Here is an 18,271-nt window from a genome sequence, read left to right as displayed (position 1 = left end):
TTGAACTCCTGGCCTCAAGTGATCTGCTGGCCTCGACCTCCCAAAGTGCTGGGATTACAAGCATGAGCCACTGCTTCCAGACTAAAAAATTTTTTTCTTTTGTCTATAACCTTTAGATTTATTTTTATATTTATGAAGCAATAAGCAAACAAATAGTAAGAGTTGGGGGAGATTACCTAAAATGGTTTTCTTTTGGAATAGTTTTCTAAAAAATCAAATAACTGTTATTATTTTAAGTTGCATGGGACTGAAGCTGCACCTGGAAAGGGATTTCATTTTCATGACCTGCAAAATTGGTTAGGCAATGAGCTATTATTCCTCCCTCCCTGTGAACACATTTATAAACTTCGATGGGGGCAAATTCCATCTAATACTCTGAAAACCATTTCTCATCTCATAATTTACCCAAATCATGTGCACGACTGCAAGAGGAAATAAACAGAAATCTTTAAGCATACATAAGCCACAATGGATTATTAATCTTGTACAGACAATCCAGCATTAAGGCTAATTTGATCTTTTAAACATTTTATGGAAAACATTTGACATTTTCACTAGAAAAGCCCACAAGCTATCATAACCCCAAAGGCATACAGCCGTGGCAGGCAGGGCTCCATCGGGCTCCTCTTGAACTGGGCACCCCTTCACGGGTAGAAAAGCAGGAACACATGTCTTCGCTTCCTGCTGCTCTGCACACACATCACAATATCTTGCAGAAGGTGGTTTCTGTCTTCCTTGGAGACATTAAACACTTTCACATCATTTCTGTTTCTGATTTCTTCTACAAGGGCCAGTGACTTTCCTTTAGGGACTGGGATTGTGCCAGCGATTATAGTCCCTGGGGTAGATAGCATCTGACAAACAGATTGGATGAAAGGCTAACTAAAGAGTTTCATTTTCCCACTCTCATCAGTGACACACACTCTCTGCCCTGGGTCACTGCTGGAATCTGCATTCCTCAAGATAGGGAGCGCCAACTGCTCAAAATAAGTCAGGTTAACCACATAATGCCCAACTTGGCATCCACATTTTCCAGGTGGAGGCTCTAACCCAACTCTAAATAAAGGCCCCTGGATGCCAAACAACACGATGACATCAAATCCTATTCTTCTCCCTCCCTGTCTGACTTCCTCTCTATAAAATCCACTGGGGTCGTGGTCAGGGTTGCAGTCGGGTTAGGGTTGCAATTCAGGTCAGGTCCAGGTCAGGGTCACGATTCAGGCCCTGCTCACCCTGTACCGTAGGCCCCCAGCAATTTTCTTTTTTTTTTTTTGAGATGGAGTCTCACTCTGTTGCCCAGGCTGGAGTGCAGTGGCATGACCTTGGCTCACTGCAACTTCCACCTCCCAGGTTCAAGCGATTCTCCTGCCTCAGCCTCCCGAGTAGCTGGGATTACAGGCATGCATCACCACACCTGGCTAATTTTTGTATTTTTAGTATAGACGGGGTTTCGCCATGTTGGCCAGGCTGGTCTTGAACTCCTGACCTCAAGTGATCCGCCCACCTTGGCCTCCCAAAGTTCTGGGATTACAGGCGTGAGCCACTGCACCCGGCCCCCAATTTTTTTTTTTTTTTTTTTCTGAGATGGAGTCTCGCTGTGTCACCAAGTTGGAGTGCAGTGGCATGACCTTGGCTCACTGCAACCTCCGCCTCCCGGGTTGCAGCGATTCTCCTGCCTCAGCCTCTCAAGTAGCTGGGATTACAGGCACCCACCACCATGCCCAGCTAATTTTTGTATTTTTAGAAGAGACGGGTTTTCACCATGTTGGCCTGGCTCGTCTCGATCTCCTGACCTTGTGATCCACCCGCGTCAGCCTCCCAAAGTGCTGGGATTACAGGCGAGAACCACCGCGCCTGGCTCAAAATTTTTTTAAAATAAAAAAATAAGATATCACTTCACATACACTAGATGGCTAGAATTTAACAGGCAGAGAATAGCAAATATTGACTAGGAGGTAGAGAAACTGGAACCCTCATACATAACTAGTGGGAAAGTAAAATGGTGCAACCACTTGGAAAGCAGTCTGGCAGTTCTTCAAAAGTTTATATATAGAGTTGCCATATGACCAAGCATCCCCTCACCCAGGTACATACCCAAGAGAAATGAAAATGTGTGTCCACACAAACACTTGGGCATGAATGATCATTGCAGCATTATTTATAATAGTCAAAAAGTGGAAATAACTCAATTGTCCTTAACTAATTAATGGTCAATAAAAGTGGTATATCAATGGAACATTATACACAATGGAATATTTTTGGCAACAAGAAGGATAAAAAGAAATGAAGTACTGATACATGCTACAACATGGGCAAACCTGTAAAACATGATGCTAAGGGCAGGGCGCAGTGGCTCAGGTCTGTAACCCCAGCACTTTGGGAGATCAAGGAGGGCTGATCACCTGAGGTCAGGAGTTCGAGACCAGCCTGGCCAACATTGTGAAACCCTGTCTCTACTAAAAATACAAAAAATTAGCTGGGCATGGTGACTCGTGCCTGTAATCCCAGCTACTCAGGAGGCTGAGAGAGGAGAATCGCTTGAACCCAGGAGGCGGAGGTTGCAGTGAGCTGAGATCGCACCACTGCACTCCAGCCTGTGTGATGGAGCGAGACCCCATCTCAAAAACACACACATAAAAAACAAACAAAAAAAAACCATGATGCTAAGAAGCCGGACACAATCACATATTGCATGATTCGATTTATGTTGTGTCCAGTATAGGCAAATCTATAGATACAGAAAGCAGATTAGTGGTTGTCTGGGGATGAGGTAGGGGTGTTGGTTGGTGGTTGGGGGTTGATGGTTATATTAGTCCATTCTCACACTACTATGAAGAAATACCCAAGACTAGATAATTTATAAAGGAAAGAGGTTTAATTGACTCACAGTTTTGCATGGCCGGGGCGGCCTCAGGAAACTTACAATCACGGCAGAAGGAAAAGGAGAAGCAGGCACCTTTTTCACAGGGCAGCAGGATGGAATGAGTGTAAGCCGGGGAAATGCCAAACGCTTATAAAACCATCAGATCTCATGAGACTCACTCACTATCATGAGAACAGCATGGGGGAAACCACCTCATCATCCAATTACCTCCACCTGGTCCCACCCTTGACATGTAGGGATTATGGGGATTACAATTCAAGATGAGATTTTTGGTGGGGACAGAGCCAAACTATATCAATGGCTAAAGGTACAGGTTTCTTTTGGGAGTGACAAAAATGTTCTAAAATTAACTGTGGTGATGGTTGCACAACTATGTGAATATACTTAAAACCATTGAATTGAATAGCATGCTTTAAGTTGGTGAGCCGTATAATATATGACATATCTCAATAAAGCTATTATCAAAATGAGTAAATAAATAAACAAGACTGGGCGCAGTGGCTCATGCCTGTAATCCCAGCACTCTGGGAGGCTGCGGGGGATGGACCACCTGAGGTCGGGAGCTCAAGACCAGCCTGACTGACATGGAAAAACCCCATCTCTACTAAAAATACAAAATTAGCCAGGCATGGTGGTGCATGCCTGTAATCCCAGCTACTAGGGAGGCTGAGGCAGGGGAATTGCTTGAACCTGGGAGGCGGAGGTTGCAGTGAGCAGAGATCGTACAATCGCACTCCAGCCTGGGCAAAAAGAGCAAAACTCCATCTCAAAAATAAATAAATAAATAAATAAATAAATAAATAAATAAATAAATAAATGGTAGATCTCTGCACCCGGCTAGATACCTCCTTCCAACAAAATGTGGGTCCATTGTTCACTTCCTGAAGATATAGCAGCTCAGCCAGCCAGCTGTGCTTCCCTGCCCCCAATCACACCATCATCTAGCCCCTCTTTCCTCATTACGTCTACTAGGATAGCATCTTGTTTAGGGAAGACCATGACACAATAGTTAATTCCATGATGGGACAATAGAATTATAACAGAGGGGCAGCTGGAGTCAGACCCAGAAGCCACCCCTGGATTAGATATCAAATCTCTGTGTCTGCAGGAGAGGTGATTTGAGCCCAAGGTAGAAACCAAGGTAAGAGGGGCTGGCAACTCCAAGAGTGTGATTGTCAGTGGTGATAATGATGGTGATGGTGCTGGTGGTGGTGATAAGAGTTAGCAATTACTGGCAGGGTGCAGTGGCTCACATCTGTAATCCCAGAACTTTGGGAGGCTGAGGTGTGTGGATTGCTTGAGCCTAGGAGTTCTAAGCCAGCCTGGACAACATGGTGAAACCCCATCGCTACAAAAAAAAAATACAAAAATTAGCTAGGCATGGTGGTACAAGTCTATAGTCCTTGCTACTTGGGAGGCTGAGGTGGGAGGATTGCCTGAGTCTGGGAGGTCAAGGCTGCAGTGAGCTGTGATTGTCATTGCACTCCAGCCTGGGAGACAGACCCTGTCTCAAAAACAAACAAACAAGCAAAAAAAAACAAAAACAAAAAATGACTGGGCAAGGTGGCTCATACCTGTAATCCCAGCACTTTGGGAGGCCGAGATGGGTGGATCACTTGAGGTCAGGAGTTCAAGACCAGCCTGGCTAACATGGTGAAACCCCATCGCTACTAAAAATACAAAAATACAAAAATAGTGGCATGTGTCTGTGGTCCTAGCTACTCGGGAGGCTGAGGCAGGAGAATCGCTTGAACCCAGGAGGCGGAGGTTGTAGTGAGCCGAGATTGCACCACTACACTCTAGCCTGGGCAACAAAGTGAGACTCCATCTCAAAATAAATAAATAAATAAATAAAATAAAAAGACTTAGCAATTACTGAGCATTTACAAATCAGGTCTGCACATGCATTTATGCATTTTTTCTTTCCATTCTCAAAACAATTCTGTCAGATAAAAGATGTTGCTATCCCCATTTTAGGTATGAGGAAATTTGGGTTTAAAGAGGTTGCATATCTGGGCCAAGGTCACACAGCCAGAAGAAGCAGAGGCCAGATTGGAAACCAGGTCTACTGTGATCAACTGATAAAATCCCCCCAATGTCCCTATTCTGGTAGGATTAAGGGGCACTGAGGTTGTGTGGGCAAAAGAGTGGCTCCATAGAGGCCAGAGGCCTCCCTACCCCATTCACACTCTGTCCAAGGCCCAGAGTCCCCTGAATGAAAGCATGGGGGCTTATTTCTCACTGGGACCACTGATAATGAGTTTCAGGGAAGACTCGTGAAAGCTGTAACTCAGCTGGAAATAGAAATGAAAGCCAGCCCAGACCAGCACTTCCGGGGTGTCTGGAGGGAAGAAGCAACTACCAGAGGAAGGAGCAGGCTGTGGAGCGGAGTGTGGGAACTCAGCACCACCAGCCTGAGAGCTGCAGCCAGTAAGCCAGGCAGCCTGGAACTTGGGCCTAACTTCCCTCCATGGCCCTCAGCTTCCTCTTTGGAGGACCAGATGGTCAGTCTGGAAGAGCTGTGATGTCCCTGCTTGTCAATACAGCTGAAGTGTCTTACTGCTGAGGACAATCCCATGAATGCAGCTGTTGTGATGCTTCCTAGGTACTGAGGCCCTGGCCACAAGCCACAAGGGTCCCACCCACCCTCCAGTCCCGTTCTTATACCACTGACCCTGTTATGAATTAAGTTGTGTCTCCAAAAAGATAATACTGAAATCCTAATCTATGGTAGTTGTGAATGTGACCTTACTTGGAAATAGGGCCTTTGCAGATGCAATTGAGTTAAGGTGAGGTCATTAGGGTAGGTCCTAATCCAGTGACTGGTGCTTTTTTTTTTTTTTGAGACAGAGTCTTACTCTGCCCCCAGGATGGAGTGCAGTGGTGCAATCTCAGCTCACTGCAATGTCCACCTCCTGGGCTCAAGCAATTCTGCCTCAGCCTCCTGAGAAGCTGGGATTACAGGCGTGAGCCACCATGCCCAGCTAATTTTTTTTTTTTTTTGAGATGGAGTTTCGCTGTTGTTGCTCAAGCTGGAGTGCAGCGGCGTGATCTCGGCTCACTGCAACCTCCGCCTCCTGGGTTCAAGAGATTCTCCTACCTCAGCCTCCTGAGAAGCTGGGATTACAGGGTCCTGCCACCACACCCACCTAATTTTTTGTATTTTTAGTAGAGACGGGGTTTCACCATGTTGGCCAGGCTGGTCTCGAACTCCTGACCTCAGGTGATCCATTTGCCTCGGCCTCCCAAAGTGCTGGGATTACAGGCATGAGCCACCGTGCCTGGCCTTTTTTTTTTCTAGAGATGGGGTCTCCCTGTGTTGCCCAGGCTGGCCTTGAACTCTAGCCTCAAGCAATCCTCCTGCTTCAGCCTCCCAAAGCACTAGGATTACAGGCATGAGCCACTGTACCTTCACCTGGTGTCTTCATAACAAGAAAGGCTATGTGAAGACAGAGACACAGAAGGGAGAATGGCACGTGATGAAGGAGGCAGAGGTTGGGTCCAGACACACCTGGGACTACCAGAAGGTAGAAGTGGCAAGGAGAGATCCTCCTCTAGAGCGGGAGTCCCCAGTCCCTGGGCCTCGGACCAGAACTGGTTTGTGGCCTGTCAGGAACCGGGCTGCAGTGGGCGAGCGAGCATTACAGCCTGAGCTCTGCCTCCTGTCCGATCAGTGGCGGCATTAGATGCCCATAGGAGTGCGAACTCCATTGTGAATTGCACATGCGAGGGATCTAGGTTGCATGCTCCTTAGGAAAATCCAACTAATGCTCGGATGTGAGGTGGAACAGTTTCACCCTGAAATCATCCCCCTTCCCATCCATGGAAAAATCGTCTTGCAAGAAACCAGTCCCTGGTGCCAAAAAGGTTAGGGACCGCTACTCTAGAGATTTCAGAGGAAGTGTGGCCCTACCAACACCTTGATTTTGGACTTCTAGCCTCTGGAACTATGAGAGAATAAACATCTGTTGTTTTTAGCCACGAAATTTGTGATACTTTGTTATGGCAGTTCTTGGAAACTAACAGAGACCCCTCCACATGCTTACTTGCCCCAGCTGCACCAGCCATTGCTCTGTTCCTCCACTGCCTGGCTCCTTCCCACTCCAGGGCCTTTGTGTGTGCTGCTCCTTTCAGAATGTTGCACACCCACCCGCCCTCCATCACTCCCATCCTCCTTCCAAACTCAGGGTAAATCGCTGCCTTCAGGGAAACCTGACCCTGGGTATTCCAATTTCCGCTCACGGCAGCAGGCTGAGTGCATTCCTTGTAGCCCTGCCACATCTGTAGTTAACTACTTACTCATACAGTTGTGTTCTGCCCATTTCCCCTGTCCAGCTGTAGGTGCCATGACAAGTACTGACCTGGCACGTGCACCAGCAGTCCTATCCCATGCAAAGCACGGTACACACAGGGATAGACTGCATGGATTAAGGGTGTGCGGAAATCCTGGCCTGGCACTGGAAGGCCCAGGCTGTGGGGCCTCTGCTCCCTTCGCAGCCTGCACTCCTTCCCGCACCCTGCAGGACCTTTCTCTCCAGGCAGGCCAGGCTAGGCTGGCTTCCCGGCTTCCCTGGACCCCACCATTCCCACTCCTTTTGGCCAAGCCCCAGCTTACTTTATCTGAATGACCTGGCCTCAGTGCCTTCTGCGCCTGCAAGGTCTGCATTAGAGCAGGTTCAGACTCAGGGAAATGAGCCCAGAGTAGCAGGTAGGGCAGAGGGGAGGGAGAGGGGACAGACGGGAGTGGAAGGAGGTCTTAAGACTGAGACAATGTTGGGATTCTCTCTCTCTCTCTCTCTCTCTCTCTCTCTTTTGAGACTAGGTCTTGCTCTGTCACCCAGGCTGAAATGCAGTGGTGTGATCATAGCTCACTGCTGCAGCCTTTAACTCCTTGGGCTCAAGCGATCCTACTGCCTTGAGCTCCCAAAGCACTGGGATTACAGGCGTGAGCCACTGTGCCCAGCTGGATTTTCTTTACGGCATATTTTAAACATTAAACAGGTCAGGCATGGTGGCTCACGCCTGTAATCCCAGCACTTTGGGAGGCCAAAGTGGGAGGATCACGAGGTCAGGAGATCAAGACCATCCTGGCCAACATGGTGAAACCCCGTCTGTACTGAAAATACAAAAATTAGCTGGGTGTGGTGGCACGTGCCTGTAATCCCAGCTACTCTGGAGGCTGAGGCAGGAGAATTGCTTGAACCAGGGAGTCGGAGGTTGCAGTGAGCTGAGTTCGCACCACTGCACTCCAGCCTGGCGACAGAGCAAGACTCCGTCTCAAAAATTTAAAAATAAATAAATAAATAAACATTAAACAAATGATACATGTTCAATGTAGGGAAAAGAAATCTTAGAAAACATAATGAGCAAAAAAGGACAATAGAATAAAAATCACCCATATTCCAACTGCACAGAGTAACCTTTGTTAGAACTTTGTCATATATTCTCCTGGATCTTTTTTTTTTTTTTCTGAGATGGAGTCTGCCTCTGTCGCCTAGGCTGGAGTGCAGTGGCACGATCTTGGCTCACTGCAACCTCCGCCTCTCGGGTTCAAGCGATTCTCCTGCCTCAGCCTCCCAAAGATGGCCTCGATCTCCTGACCTCGTGATCTGCCCGCCTCAGCCTCCCAAAGTGCTGGGATTACAGGCATGAGCCACTGCGCCTGGCCTTCTCCTAGGTCTTTATGTGAGCCTATTGTAGAGGAGAGAAAGTGTAGGGAATTCCCTGCATTGTTAGGGCATGATTTTGAAAAACCAGAGTTTCCAGGAAGCCTCATTGCTCCTCTGAGGCCAAGGCATCTATCAATGTGTGTCTTCCCATGTCTGGTCATGATGTGGGGAAGGGTTCAGGGCGAGGACCCCTCTGACCTGGACAGGAATGAACTACTGCTGCTCTGCGGGTGCCATCCTAGCCTCACTCTCCAGGCCTGCCCCTTCTTTGAAGCAGCTTACTGCAGCCAGAGACACTTCCCACCCCAAGGGAACTCAAAGCTTGTGTCAAGGCCAAGGAAAAATTCCCCCTCCGCCCTCTGAAGGCTTGCTGAAAATCACTGACAAGAGGCAGATTAACAGGAGGAAAAATATACAAATTTATTTGATCAGAGTTTTATGTGTCACAGAGGCCTTCAGAATGAAGACCCAAAGACAGAGGGCAAATTGTCTATTTTTACGTTTAGGTTCATTAAAGTATGGACACCCTTGTTGAAATATAATTGGACAGAAAGGGTATGCTCTAATGCTAATAGAATGAGTGGGGAAACCCAGCCTCGCCCGTCTGTCTAGATTCTTCTTGGCCTCTCTGAGCGTGTGTTCCTTCTTTCTGAGTGTGGGGCAGGGCCCTCTCTGGAAGGGGGATTTTATAATCTACACTCAAACAATGTAGGTCAGACCTTCCCTTCCCTTCCCTTCCCTTCCCTTCCTTCCTTTCTCTCTCTCTCTTTTTCTTTCTTTCTTCTCTTTTTTTTTTTTTTGAGACGGAGTTTTGCTCTTGTCGCCCAGGCTGGAGTGCAATGGCACGATCTCGGCTCAGTGCAACCTCCGCCTCCCAGGTTCAAGCAGTTCTCCTGCCTCAGCCTCCCAAGAAGCTGGGATTACAGGCATGCGCCATCACGCCCAGCTAATTTTTTGTATTTTTAGTAGAGATGGGGTTTCTCCATGTTGGTCAGGATGGTCTTGAACTCCTGACCTCAGGTGATCTGCCTGCCTTGGCCTCCCAAATTGCTGGGATTATAGGAGTGAGCCACTGCACCCGGCCTTTTTTTTTTTTTTTTTTGAGATGGAGTTTGACTCTTGTTGCCGAGGCTGGAGTGCAGTGGCATGATCTCGGCTCACCGCAAGCTCCGCCTCCTGGGTTCAAGCGATTCTCCTGCCTCAGCCTCCTGAGTAGCTGGGATTATAGGCACCCGCCACCACGCCCAGCGAATTTTTTGTACTTTTAGTAGAGATGGGGTTTCACTATGTTGGCCAGGCTGGTCTCGAACTCCTGACCTCAAGTGATCCATTTGCCTTGGCCTCCCAAAGTGCGAGGATTACAAGGATGAGCCATTGCGCCTGGCCTATTTTTTTTTTTTTTTTTTTGAGATAGGGTATCACTCTGTCACTTAGGCTGGAGTGCAGTGGTGCCATCACAACTCACTGCAACCTCTACCTCCAGGGGTCAAGTGATGCTCCCACCTCAGCCTCCCAAGTAGCTGGGACTATAGGCGTGTTCCGTCATGCTTGGCTAATTTTTTTTTTTTTTTTTTGTAGAGATGGGATCTCCCTGTGTTGCTTAGGCTGGTCTCAAACTTCTGGGCTCAAGTGATCCTCCTGCCTTGGCCTCCCAAAGTGCTGGGATTACTGGAATGAAATCAAGGCACAGAGCAAGCTGGGCTTTGGAGCAACCCACCAGGCTTCAAGTCCCCACTCTCAATTACTTAAACCAGTTATTTCACCTCCCTGAGCCTCGGATTATCCATCTATAAAATGGGGCTAGAATTATACCTACCTGACAGGGTGGCTGGTGAAATGATATACAAGTGAAGTGATATATGCAACACTTGGCATAATGTCTGGAACAAGGTAAACACTTTATTATTATTATTATTATTATAATTTAGGTTGATGCATGGGGATTTTATAACCTACACTCAAACAATGTAGGTCAGATCATTTTTCTTTTCTTTTCTTTTCTTTTCTTTTGAGACAGTCTCGCTCTTGTTGCCCAGGCTGGAGTGCAGTGGCCTAATCTCTGCTCACTGCAACTTCCACCTCTCAGGTTCCAGCGATTCTCCTGCCTCAGCCTCCCAAGTAGCTAAGATTACAAGCGCCCACCACCACGCCTGGCTAATTTTTGTTTTTAGTAGAGATGGGGTTTCACCATGTTGCTCAGGCTGGTCTTGAACTCCTGACCTCAAGTGATCCACCCATCTCGGCCTCCCAAAGCGCTGGGATTACAGGCATGAGCCACTGTGCCAGGCCTGCAATTACTTTTGCTCCTACCTAATATCATCCCCACAACCGCCTTCTGGGCAGAAACCGGCAGGCTCTCTTGGAGAAGTCACAGGCGTGGCCATTTCCTGCAAAGAGCCAAACCCCCATTCCTCTGTGCCCCTCCTCTCCCACCAAGTGCTTTATAAAAATAGCTCTTGTTACCGGAAATAACTGTTCATTTTTCACTCCTCCCTCCTAGGTCACACTTTTCAGAAAAAGAATCTGCATCCTGGAAACCAGAAGAAAAATATGAGACGGGGAATCATCGTGTGATGTGTGTGCTGCCTTTGGCTGAGTGTGTGGAGTCCTGCTCAGGTGTTAGGTACAGTGTGTTTGATCGTGGTGGCTTGAGGGGAACCCGCTGTTCAGAGCTGTGACTGCGGTGAGTGTTTCTAAACACCCTTGGTTTGGGGGTAGCAAAGGGCAATGGAATGGAGGCTTTCTCAAACCTCACCCCTGACCCCAGGACTCAGGCCCAGCTCATCAGGGCTTTGAGGGAAGGTTCCTACCTCCCTTCCTGAGGAACAGGAAATACCCTCCTTCCCAGCACCAGTAAAGCTGCGGTTTGGAGAAACGCCAGGGCTAGAGTGTTGTGGAGAAACCAATCGTTGTTAACATCTCATTTTCAGGCTGCACTCAGAGAAGCTGCCCTTGGCTGCTCGTAGCGCCGGGCCTTCTCTCCTCGTCATCATCCAGAGCAGCCAGTGTCCGGGAGGCAGAAGGTAGGCTCAAGATCAGCCTGGCAGAACGCCAAACCTAGGGCCCCTGGCACCCAGAGGCGAGGGGGTGCCTGCTGGCTGCCCTGTCCCCACTCCCTGAGCTCTGTTTTCCACTTTGTTGACTAAGGTCCTCCCTGGGGTGGGTTCCGGGGACAGGGGAACCCAGGTCCCCAAGGGTTCTTGGTTGGGTACGGCTGCACAGGACAGCTTCAAGTCTGGGTCTGGGATAGTTGCTGCCTTCTTTCTTCACCACACCTGTGGTCTCCCTGGGTCTTGGTGGGGCGTGTATGTGCAGGCCCTGCTCTGTTTTCAGCAAACCTCGCTGAGACAGGAGCTTTGGGGTGACTTATTCCCAGCCTGCCTCCTAGAGGTGTCTCTAAGAGCAGCCTCTGGGAGTGGCTGGGCACCAGGGAAAGGGGAACTGGGAGGAAGTGCCCAGCCAGAGCCTCAGTCCCAGAAGGGCAGGAGGGCAAGGGGAGAATGGTCATGGATTTCTTGGTGCCCACAGATGCCCCACTCCAGCCTGCATCCATCCATCCCGTGTCCCAGGGGTCACGGGGCCCAGAAGGCAGCCTTGGTTCTGCTGAGTGCCTGCCTGGTGACCCTTTGGGGGCTAGGAGAGCCACCAGAGCACACTCTCCGGTACCTGGTGCTCCACCTAGCCTCCCTGCAGCTGGGACTGCTGTTAAACGGGGTCTGCAGCCTGGCTGAGGAGCTGCGCCACATCCACTCCAGGTGACTCACTGCAGTACCCAGGGACGGGGTATCCAACGTGTGTCACTCCCTTGATGCCTAGCCCTGCCCCTCCTTGAACCTCTCTGGCTGAGCTGGGCTGGGGGCTGGGGTCTGGGGTCTGGCTGTCACTCACAGGTACCGGGGCAGCTACTGGAGGACTGTGCGGGCCTGCCTGGGCTGCCCCCTCCGCCGTGGGGCCCTGTTGCTGCTGTCCATCTATTTCTACTACTCCCTCCCAAATGCGGTCGGCCCGCCCTTCACTTGGATGCTTGCCCTCCTGGGCCTCTCGCAGGCACTGAACATCCTCCTGGGCCTCAAGGTATGACACAGGGGGAGGTAGAAGCTCTGGCCAAGTGGTGGCTGTGGCTGGTGTGACCTGCCCTGAGCTGAGTACTGGGAGTGGGACTGGTTTAAAGGCTGGAGTCCATGGAGTAGAACCTATAATGTCCTGGAACAGTGGGTTTGGCAATGGCAAAAGAGGGATCAAGTCAGGAGCAGGTTGGGAAGCCTTGGAGGAGGAGGAGGAGTTCTCTGGGTGTCCTTGATGGAGGCCCCCCAGCCACATCCTGCTGTCCACAGGGCCTGGCCCCAGCTGAGATCTCTGCAGTGTGTGAAAAAGGGAATTTCAACGTGGCCCATGGGCTGGCATGGTCATATTACATCGGATATCTGCGGCTGATCCTGCCAGGTGGGCCATCCTCTCTGCCCCCATTTCTCGATCTACAAAACAGACACTAAGACACACAGCCTCTTGTGTTTCTAAACACACAGAACTCACTATATTTTTCAAAGCATTTTCATGTCTACCAAATCCTTTAATCCCAAGGCATGAAGGATGTTGCTATGATGCCTAGTTTGCAGAAAGGAATATGGGGCTTAGAGCCATTAAGTGACTTGCCCAAGGTCACTTGTGAATTCTTTTTTTTTCTTTTTGAGAAGGAATCTCCCTCTGTCGCCCAGGCTAGAGTGCAGTGGTACCATCTCGGCTACTGCAACCTCCTCCTTCCAAGTTCAAGTGATTATCCTGGCTCAGGTTCCCGAGTAGCTGGGATTATAGGCACCCACCACAACGCCCGGCTAATTTTTGTATTTTTAGTAGAGACAGGGTTTCACCGTATTGGCCAGGCCGGTACAAACTCCTGACCTCAAGTGATCCGCCTGCCTTAGCCTCCCAAAGTGCTGGGATTACAGGCGTGAGCCCAGCTGTAAATTCTTTCAATAAATATTTACTGCATGCTGTGTGCTCTCATGTGCCTTTTCTAATTCACACCCTATGAGGAAGGAATAATCTTTATTCCTGTTTTATTTTATTTATATATTTTTTAAAAAGAAGAGGGTTTTGCTATGTTACCCAGCCTGGTCTCAACTCCTGGGCTCAAGCAATCCTCCTGCCTTGGCTTCCCAAAGTGCCGAGATAACAAGCAGGAGCCACCAAGCCCATACCTATTTTAGATTTTTTTTTTTTTTTTTTTTTGAGACAAAGTCTCACTCTGTTGCGCAGACTGGAGTGCAGTAGCACAATCTCAGCTCACTGCGACCTCTGCCTCCTGGGTTCAGCCTCCCAAGTAGCTGGAATTACAGGTCCCTGCCACCGGCATGGCTTTTTTTTTTTTTTTTTTTTTTTTTTTTGTATTTTTAGTAGAGACAGGGTTTCACCATGTTGCCCAGGCTGGTCTTGAATTCTTGACCTCAAGTAATCCACCCACCTTGGCCTCCCAAAGTGCTGGGATTACAGACATGAGCCACTGCACCAGCCTTAGATTTTTTTTTTTTTTTAAGATGGAGTTTCACTTTTTCACCCGGGCTGAAGTAGAGTGGCACAATCTGGGCTCACTGCAACTTCTGCTTCCCAGGTTCCAGTGATTCTCCTGCCTTAGCCTCCCAAGTAGCTGGGATTTTAGGTGCCTGCCACCACGCCCGGCTAATTTTTGTATTTTCAGTACAGACGGGGTTTCACCATGTTGGGTAGGCTAGTCTCAAACTCCTGACCTCAGGTGATCCACCCACCTCGGCCTCCCAAAGTGCTAGAACTATAGGCATGAGCCACTGTGCCTGGCCTTTTTTTTTAAGTGCAGTTCTGAGAGGTAAAGTGATTTATCCGATATCACATAGCTTAGAGAGAGGAAGAGAAAGGATTTGAACCCAGGTTTGTCCAGAGCCTGGACCCTAGACCACTGCACCGTGGAGCCTGTGTTTGTTGTTGTTGTTGTTGTTGTTGTTGTTGTTGTTGTTGTTGTTGTTGTTTTGAGATGAAGTCTCTTTCTGTTACCCAGCCTGGAGTACAGTGGTGACAAGATCTCAGCTCACTGCAACCTCTGCCTCCCAGGTTCAAGTGATTCTCCTGCCTGAGCCTCTTGAATAGCTAGGATTACAGGCACGTGCCACCATGCCTGGCTAATTTTTGTATTTTTAGTAGAGACAATGTTTCACCATGTTGCCCAGGCTAGTCTCAAACTCCTGACCTCAAATGATCCACCTGCCTCAGCCTCCCAAAGTGCTGGATTACAGGCGTGAGCCACTGTGCCTGCCCTAAGCCTGTGTGTTTTATTCTTCTGACTTGCAGGCTAAAGCGGCAGCTCTTCCATATCTCATTGCTATCTCCTAGGGCTTCCGCTAGGAGACTGATCTGGGGCTAGAGGCCTCCCTCTGTGCACACGAGAATGCTGGAAATGTCACCTCTCAGGGCTCTGCCTGCCTCTCAGCCCTGAAAGCCATGGTGGAAAGGGGTGGCGCTGACATAGACATCTGAGGAAAGAAGTGAGGGAGGGTAAAGGGTGGTGCAGTAAGAGGAGGGGTGGGGAGGGCTTTTGGAGGCGCTGCCCCTCCTGGCCTCCTGTACAATGAGAGTGCACTGGACTCTCCATTCTCTGGCACCCACACACTGCGGGGGCCAATGACCTGGGTCTCACTCCTGAATCAGGTGGGAGATAGGGTTAGCAGGAATAACTTCTTGGGCTTCCCTGCCTCAGAGCTCCAGGCCCGGATTCGAACTTACAATCAGCATTACAACAACCTGCTACGGGGTGCAGTGAGCCAGCGGCTGTATATTCTCCTCCCATTGGACTGTGGGGTGCCTGATAACCTGAGTATGGCTGACCCCAACATTCGCTTCCTGGATAAACTGCCCCAGCAGACCGGTGACCATGCTGGCATCAAGGATCGGGTTTACAGCAACAGCATCTATGAGCTTCTGGAGAACGGGCAGCGGGTAAGTGTGCAGGGGAGTGGGGGTCTCTGAGGAGGGGTCAGGACCCCAGAACCCTGGGCCCTAGCCAAGCACTGATGAAAATTCACTGCCCTTCTCTGAGCTGTAGTGTCCCTAGCTGGTCCCAGGTCTGGGCAGGATTCAGCTCTGAATGATAATGATGAGTAACATTTATCGAGCACTTACTACAAGCTGGATGCTATTCTGGGTGTGTCATCTGATCACCTCATTGAATTCTCACCACCACCCTATGGGGTAGGGACTGTTAGCATTCCCACTTTACAGAGGAGGACACTGAGGCTCAGAGACACCGTAGGAAAGTGGACGATTTAAACTTGACTGTACCATGCTCTTGACCATAAAGCTGCCCCAGACGAAGGCTGTGAGAACATCTGAAGGATTCATGTGGGTGCAGGGGAACCCAGACCAGAGTTGAACCCAGAGCCTAGCCCCAGACCTGATTCCCAGCTGGAGCAGTTGACAGCCTCGGGTCTTGCCCTAGGATCTTGGAAGAAGGATCTGTGAAGGGTAAATTTAGCCCAGCCGTGTCCCTGATTTCAGAGTTGGGTATCAGAGGCAAAGGCAGGCCAGACAGCATAGACCCCATTAGGGTGGCCACCTCCCAGGACTCTATCGTTACAGGCTGAGGGAGTGGGGCCTCAGCCCGTGGCACTGGGGGCCAGAGCCTGGACTGGACCCTCCATTCTCCATCCGCCTGGCCCCTGGCTTAGTCTGGTCTTCCTCTTACCTCCTCTAGGCGGGCACCTGTGTCCTGGAGTACGCCACCCCCTTGCAGACTTTGTTTGCCATGTCACAATACAGTCAAGCTGGCTTTAGCCGGGAGGATAGGCTTGAGCAGGCCAAACTCTTCTGCCGGACACTTGAGGACATCCTGGCAGATGCCCCTGAGTCTCAGAACAACTGCCGCCTCATTGCCTACCAGGGTGAGGGGTTGGTAGGGTGAGGGGTTGATAGGCTGGAGGGCAGGAGGAGTCAGGGGTCCCAGGGTCTCCCAAAGAGTCAGAAGGGGCTATGGAGCACCATGCCCTGGGCCTGTCCTTCCTTCCCTGGGAGAAGCCCCCTCTTCCCAGCACACCAGATTGCTTTTTAGGTCTTTGACTGTAATCCCTCAGGGGAGCCTGAAGAGGTGGGTTCTAGGGGCCTCTCACTTCATCTAGGATTCCAGAGGAAACAGAAGAGTCCCAGGCCAGTATGTACTGGGCACAGGAGACTAGGGCTGCAGCCTCGGCTCTACTACTCCCTCACTGTGTGACCTCGGGCAGGTTTCTGCTCCTCTCTGAGCATTAGCTTTAAAAGTAAGAGGGTGGAATTTCATTCTCTCTGAAATCACTTTTTTTTTTTTTTTTTGAGATGGAGTCTCACTCTGTTGCCCAGGCTGGAGTGAAGTGGCTCGATTTCGGGTCACTGCAACCTCCACCTCCCGGGTCCAAGCGATTCTCCTGCCTCAGCCTCCCAAGTAGCTGGGACTACAGGCGCCCGCCACCATGCCCAGCTAATTTTTGTATTTTTAGTAGAGACGGGGTTTCATCATATTGGCCAGGCTGGTCTTGAATTCCTGACCTCATGATCTACCTGCCTCGGCCTCCCAAAGTGCTAGGATTACAGGCGTGAGCCACTGTGCCAGGCCTGAACCACTTCTACCTCTAGGATTCTATGAAACTCTAGTCCCAGTGGCTGGGGCTTGGGTAGGAAGGGGGGTAGGGAGGGTTAGGGGATCTTCCCAGCAAGTTCTCTAGGTATGTTTGAGTGGGAATGGGTAAGATCCTCATTACTCTCTCCCCTATCTCCCTGTTCCAGAACCTGCAGATGACAGCAGCTTCTCGCTGTCCCAGGAGGTTCTCCGGCACCTGCGGCAGGAGGAAAAGGAAGAGGTTACTGTGGGCAGCTTGAAGACCTCAGCGGTGCCCAGTACCTCCACGATGTCCCAAGAGCCTGAGCTCCTCATCAGTGGAATGGAAAAGCCCCTCCCTCTCCGCACGGATTTCTCTTGAGACCCAGGGTCACCAGGCCAGAGCCTCCAGTGGTCTCCAAGCCTCTGGACTGGGGGCTCTCTTCAGTGGCTGAATGTCCAGCAGAGCTATTTCCTTCCACAGGGGGCCTTGCAGGGAAGGGTCCAGGACTTGACATCTTAAGATGCGTCTTGTCCCCTTGGGCCAGTCATTTCCCCTCTCTGAGCCTCGGTGTCTTCAACCTGTGAAATGGGATCATAATCACTGCCTTACCTCCCTCACGGTTGTTGTGAGGACTGAGTGTGTGGAAGTTTTTCATAAACTTTGGATGCTAGTGTACTTAGGGGGTGTGCCAGGTGTCTTTCATGGGGCCTTCCAGACCCACTCCCCACCCTTCTCCCCTTCCTTTGCCCGGGGACGCCGAACTCTCTCAATGGTATCAACAGGCTCCTTCGCCCTCTGGCTCCTGGTCATGTTCCATTATTGGGGAGCCCCAGCAGAAGAATGGAGAGGAGGAGGAGGCTGAGTTTGGGGTATTGAATCCCCCGGCTCCCACCCTGCAGCATCAAGGTTGCTATGGACTCTCCTGCCGGGCAACTCTTGCGTAATCATGACTATCTCTAGGATTCTGGCACCACTTCCTTCCCTGGCCCCTTAAGCCTAGCTGTGTATCGGCACCCCCACCCCACTAGAGTACTCCCTCTCACTTGCGGTTTCCTTATACTCCACCCCTTTCTCAACGGTCCTTTTTTAAAGCACATCTCAGATTACCCAATGTGAGTGTGTCG

The 18,271-nt window shown here is 50.1% G+C and overlaps 1 protein-coding gene and 1 pseudogene across 3 annotated transcripts, besides 7 other annotated features; one reads left to right on the top strand and one right to left on the bottom strand.

The window, feature by feature from the left end:
- LOC101059986 (cancer-related nucleoside-triphosphatase-like) lies at positions 645–10,937 on the bottom strand (annotated as a pseudogene).
- Positions 5,127–5,316: an enhancer, noted in NCBI's record as "active region_23237". NCBI's record gives its function as "activates an Ori minimal core promoter by ATAC-STARR-seq in GM12878 lymphoblastoid cells {active_cell/tissue: GM12878}" and the evidence as "EXISTENCE:reporter gene assay evidence [ECO:0000049][PMID:35858748]".
- Positions 6,876–7,376: an enhancer, noted in NCBI's record as "H3K4me1 hESC enhancer chr5:138865995-138866495 (GRCh37/hg19 assembly coordinates)". NCBI's record gives its function as "activates a minimal SCP1, AML or CMV promoter by ChIP-STARR-seq in primed H9 embryonic stem cells {active_cell/tissue: H9 hESC(primed)}" and the evidence as "EXISTENCE:reporter gene assay evidence [ECO:0000049][PMID:30033119]".
- Positions 8,503–9,003: an enhancer, noted in NCBI's record as "H3K4me1 hESC enhancer chr5:138864368-138864868 (GRCh37/hg19 assembly coordinates)". NCBI's record gives its function as "activates a minimal SCP1, AML or CMV promoter by ChIP-STARR-seq in primed H9 embryonic stem cells {active_cell/tissue: H9 hESC(primed)}" and the evidence as "EXISTENCE:reporter gene assay evidence [ECO:0000049][PMID:30033119]".
- Positions 10,856–10,975: an enhancer, noted in NCBI's record as "active region_23236". NCBI's record gives its function as "activates an Ori minimal core promoter by ATAC-STARR-seq in GM12878 lymphoblastoid cells {active_cell/tissue: GM12878}" and the evidence as "EXISTENCE:reporter gene assay evidence [ECO:0000049][PMID:35858748]".
- Positions 10,986–11,115: an enhancer, noted in NCBI's record as "active region_23235". NCBI's record gives its function as "activates an Ori minimal core promoter by ATAC-STARR-seq in GM12878 lymphoblastoid cells {active_cell/tissue: GM12878}" and the evidence as "EXISTENCE:reporter gene assay evidence [ECO:0000049][PMID:35858748]".
- On the top strand, positions 11,028–18,253 carry STING1 (stimulator of interferon response cGAMP interactor 1). 3 transcript variants are annotated; one of them, NM_198282.4, is made up of 8 exons: positions 11,028–11,236; positions 11,484–11,576; positions 12,082–12,308; positions 12,444–12,627; positions 12,888–12,996; positions 15,278–15,516; positions 16,271–16,457; positions 17,332–18,253. In NM_198282.4, exons 3-8 carry the CDS (start codon positions 12,082–12,084, stop codon positions 17,523–17,525), a joined length of 1,140 nt encoding a protein of 379 aa, NP_938023.1. In that variant the 5' UTR covers positions 11,028–11,236; positions 11,484–11,576; the 3' UTR covers positions 17,526–18,253. The 3 variants fall into 3 exon arrangements, with proteins under 3 accessions (NP_938023.1, NP_001354187.1, NP_001288667.1); NM_001367258.1 differs by lacking the exon at positions 12,082–12,308; NM_001301738.2 differs by lacking the exon at positions 16,271–16,457.
- Positions 11,636–11,865: an enhancer, noted in NCBI's record as "active region_23234". NCBI's record gives its function as "activates an Ori minimal core promoter by ATAC-STARR-seq in GM12878 lymphoblastoid cells {active_cell/tissue: GM12878}" and the evidence as "EXISTENCE:reporter gene assay evidence [ECO:0000049][PMID:35858748]".
- Positions 12,468–12,762: a silencer, noted in NCBI's record as "tiled region #11914; K562 Repressive DNase matched - State 2:TssF". NCBI's record gives its function as "represses a minimal TATA promoter and a strong SV40 promoter by Sharpr-MPRA in K562 cells {active_cell/tissue: K562}" and the evidence as "EXISTENCE:reporter gene assay evidence [ECO:0000049][PMID:27701403]".

This window comes from Homo sapiens, chromosome 5 (assembly GCF_000001405.40).
Source record: "Homo sapiens chromosome 5, GRCh38.p14 Primary Assembly".
Lineage (NCBI taxonomy): Eukaryota > Metazoa > Chordata > Mammalia > Primates > Hominidae > Homo > Homo sapiens.
The sequence above is the reverse complement of the archived record's forward strand: the minus strand, read 5'-3'. Positions and strand labels throughout refer to the sequence as shown.

What these genes read in the sequence shown, in the direction of transcription:
- STING1 (NM_198282.4), top strand. Translation starts at nt 12,082, where the DNA reads ATGCCCCACTCCAGCCTGCATCCATCCATCCCGTGTCCCAGGGGTCAC. An exon ending in ACATCCTCCTGGGCCTCAAG is followed by an intron (nt 12,628 to 12,887) that starts GTATGACACAGG and finishes TGCTGTCCACAG; the next exon opens with GGCCTGGCCCCAGCTGAGAT. An exon ending in CCGCCTCATTGCCTACCAGG is followed by an intron (nt 16,458 to 17,331) that starts GTGAGGGGTTGG and finishes TCCCTGTTCCAG; the next exon opens with AACCTGCAGATGACAGCAGC.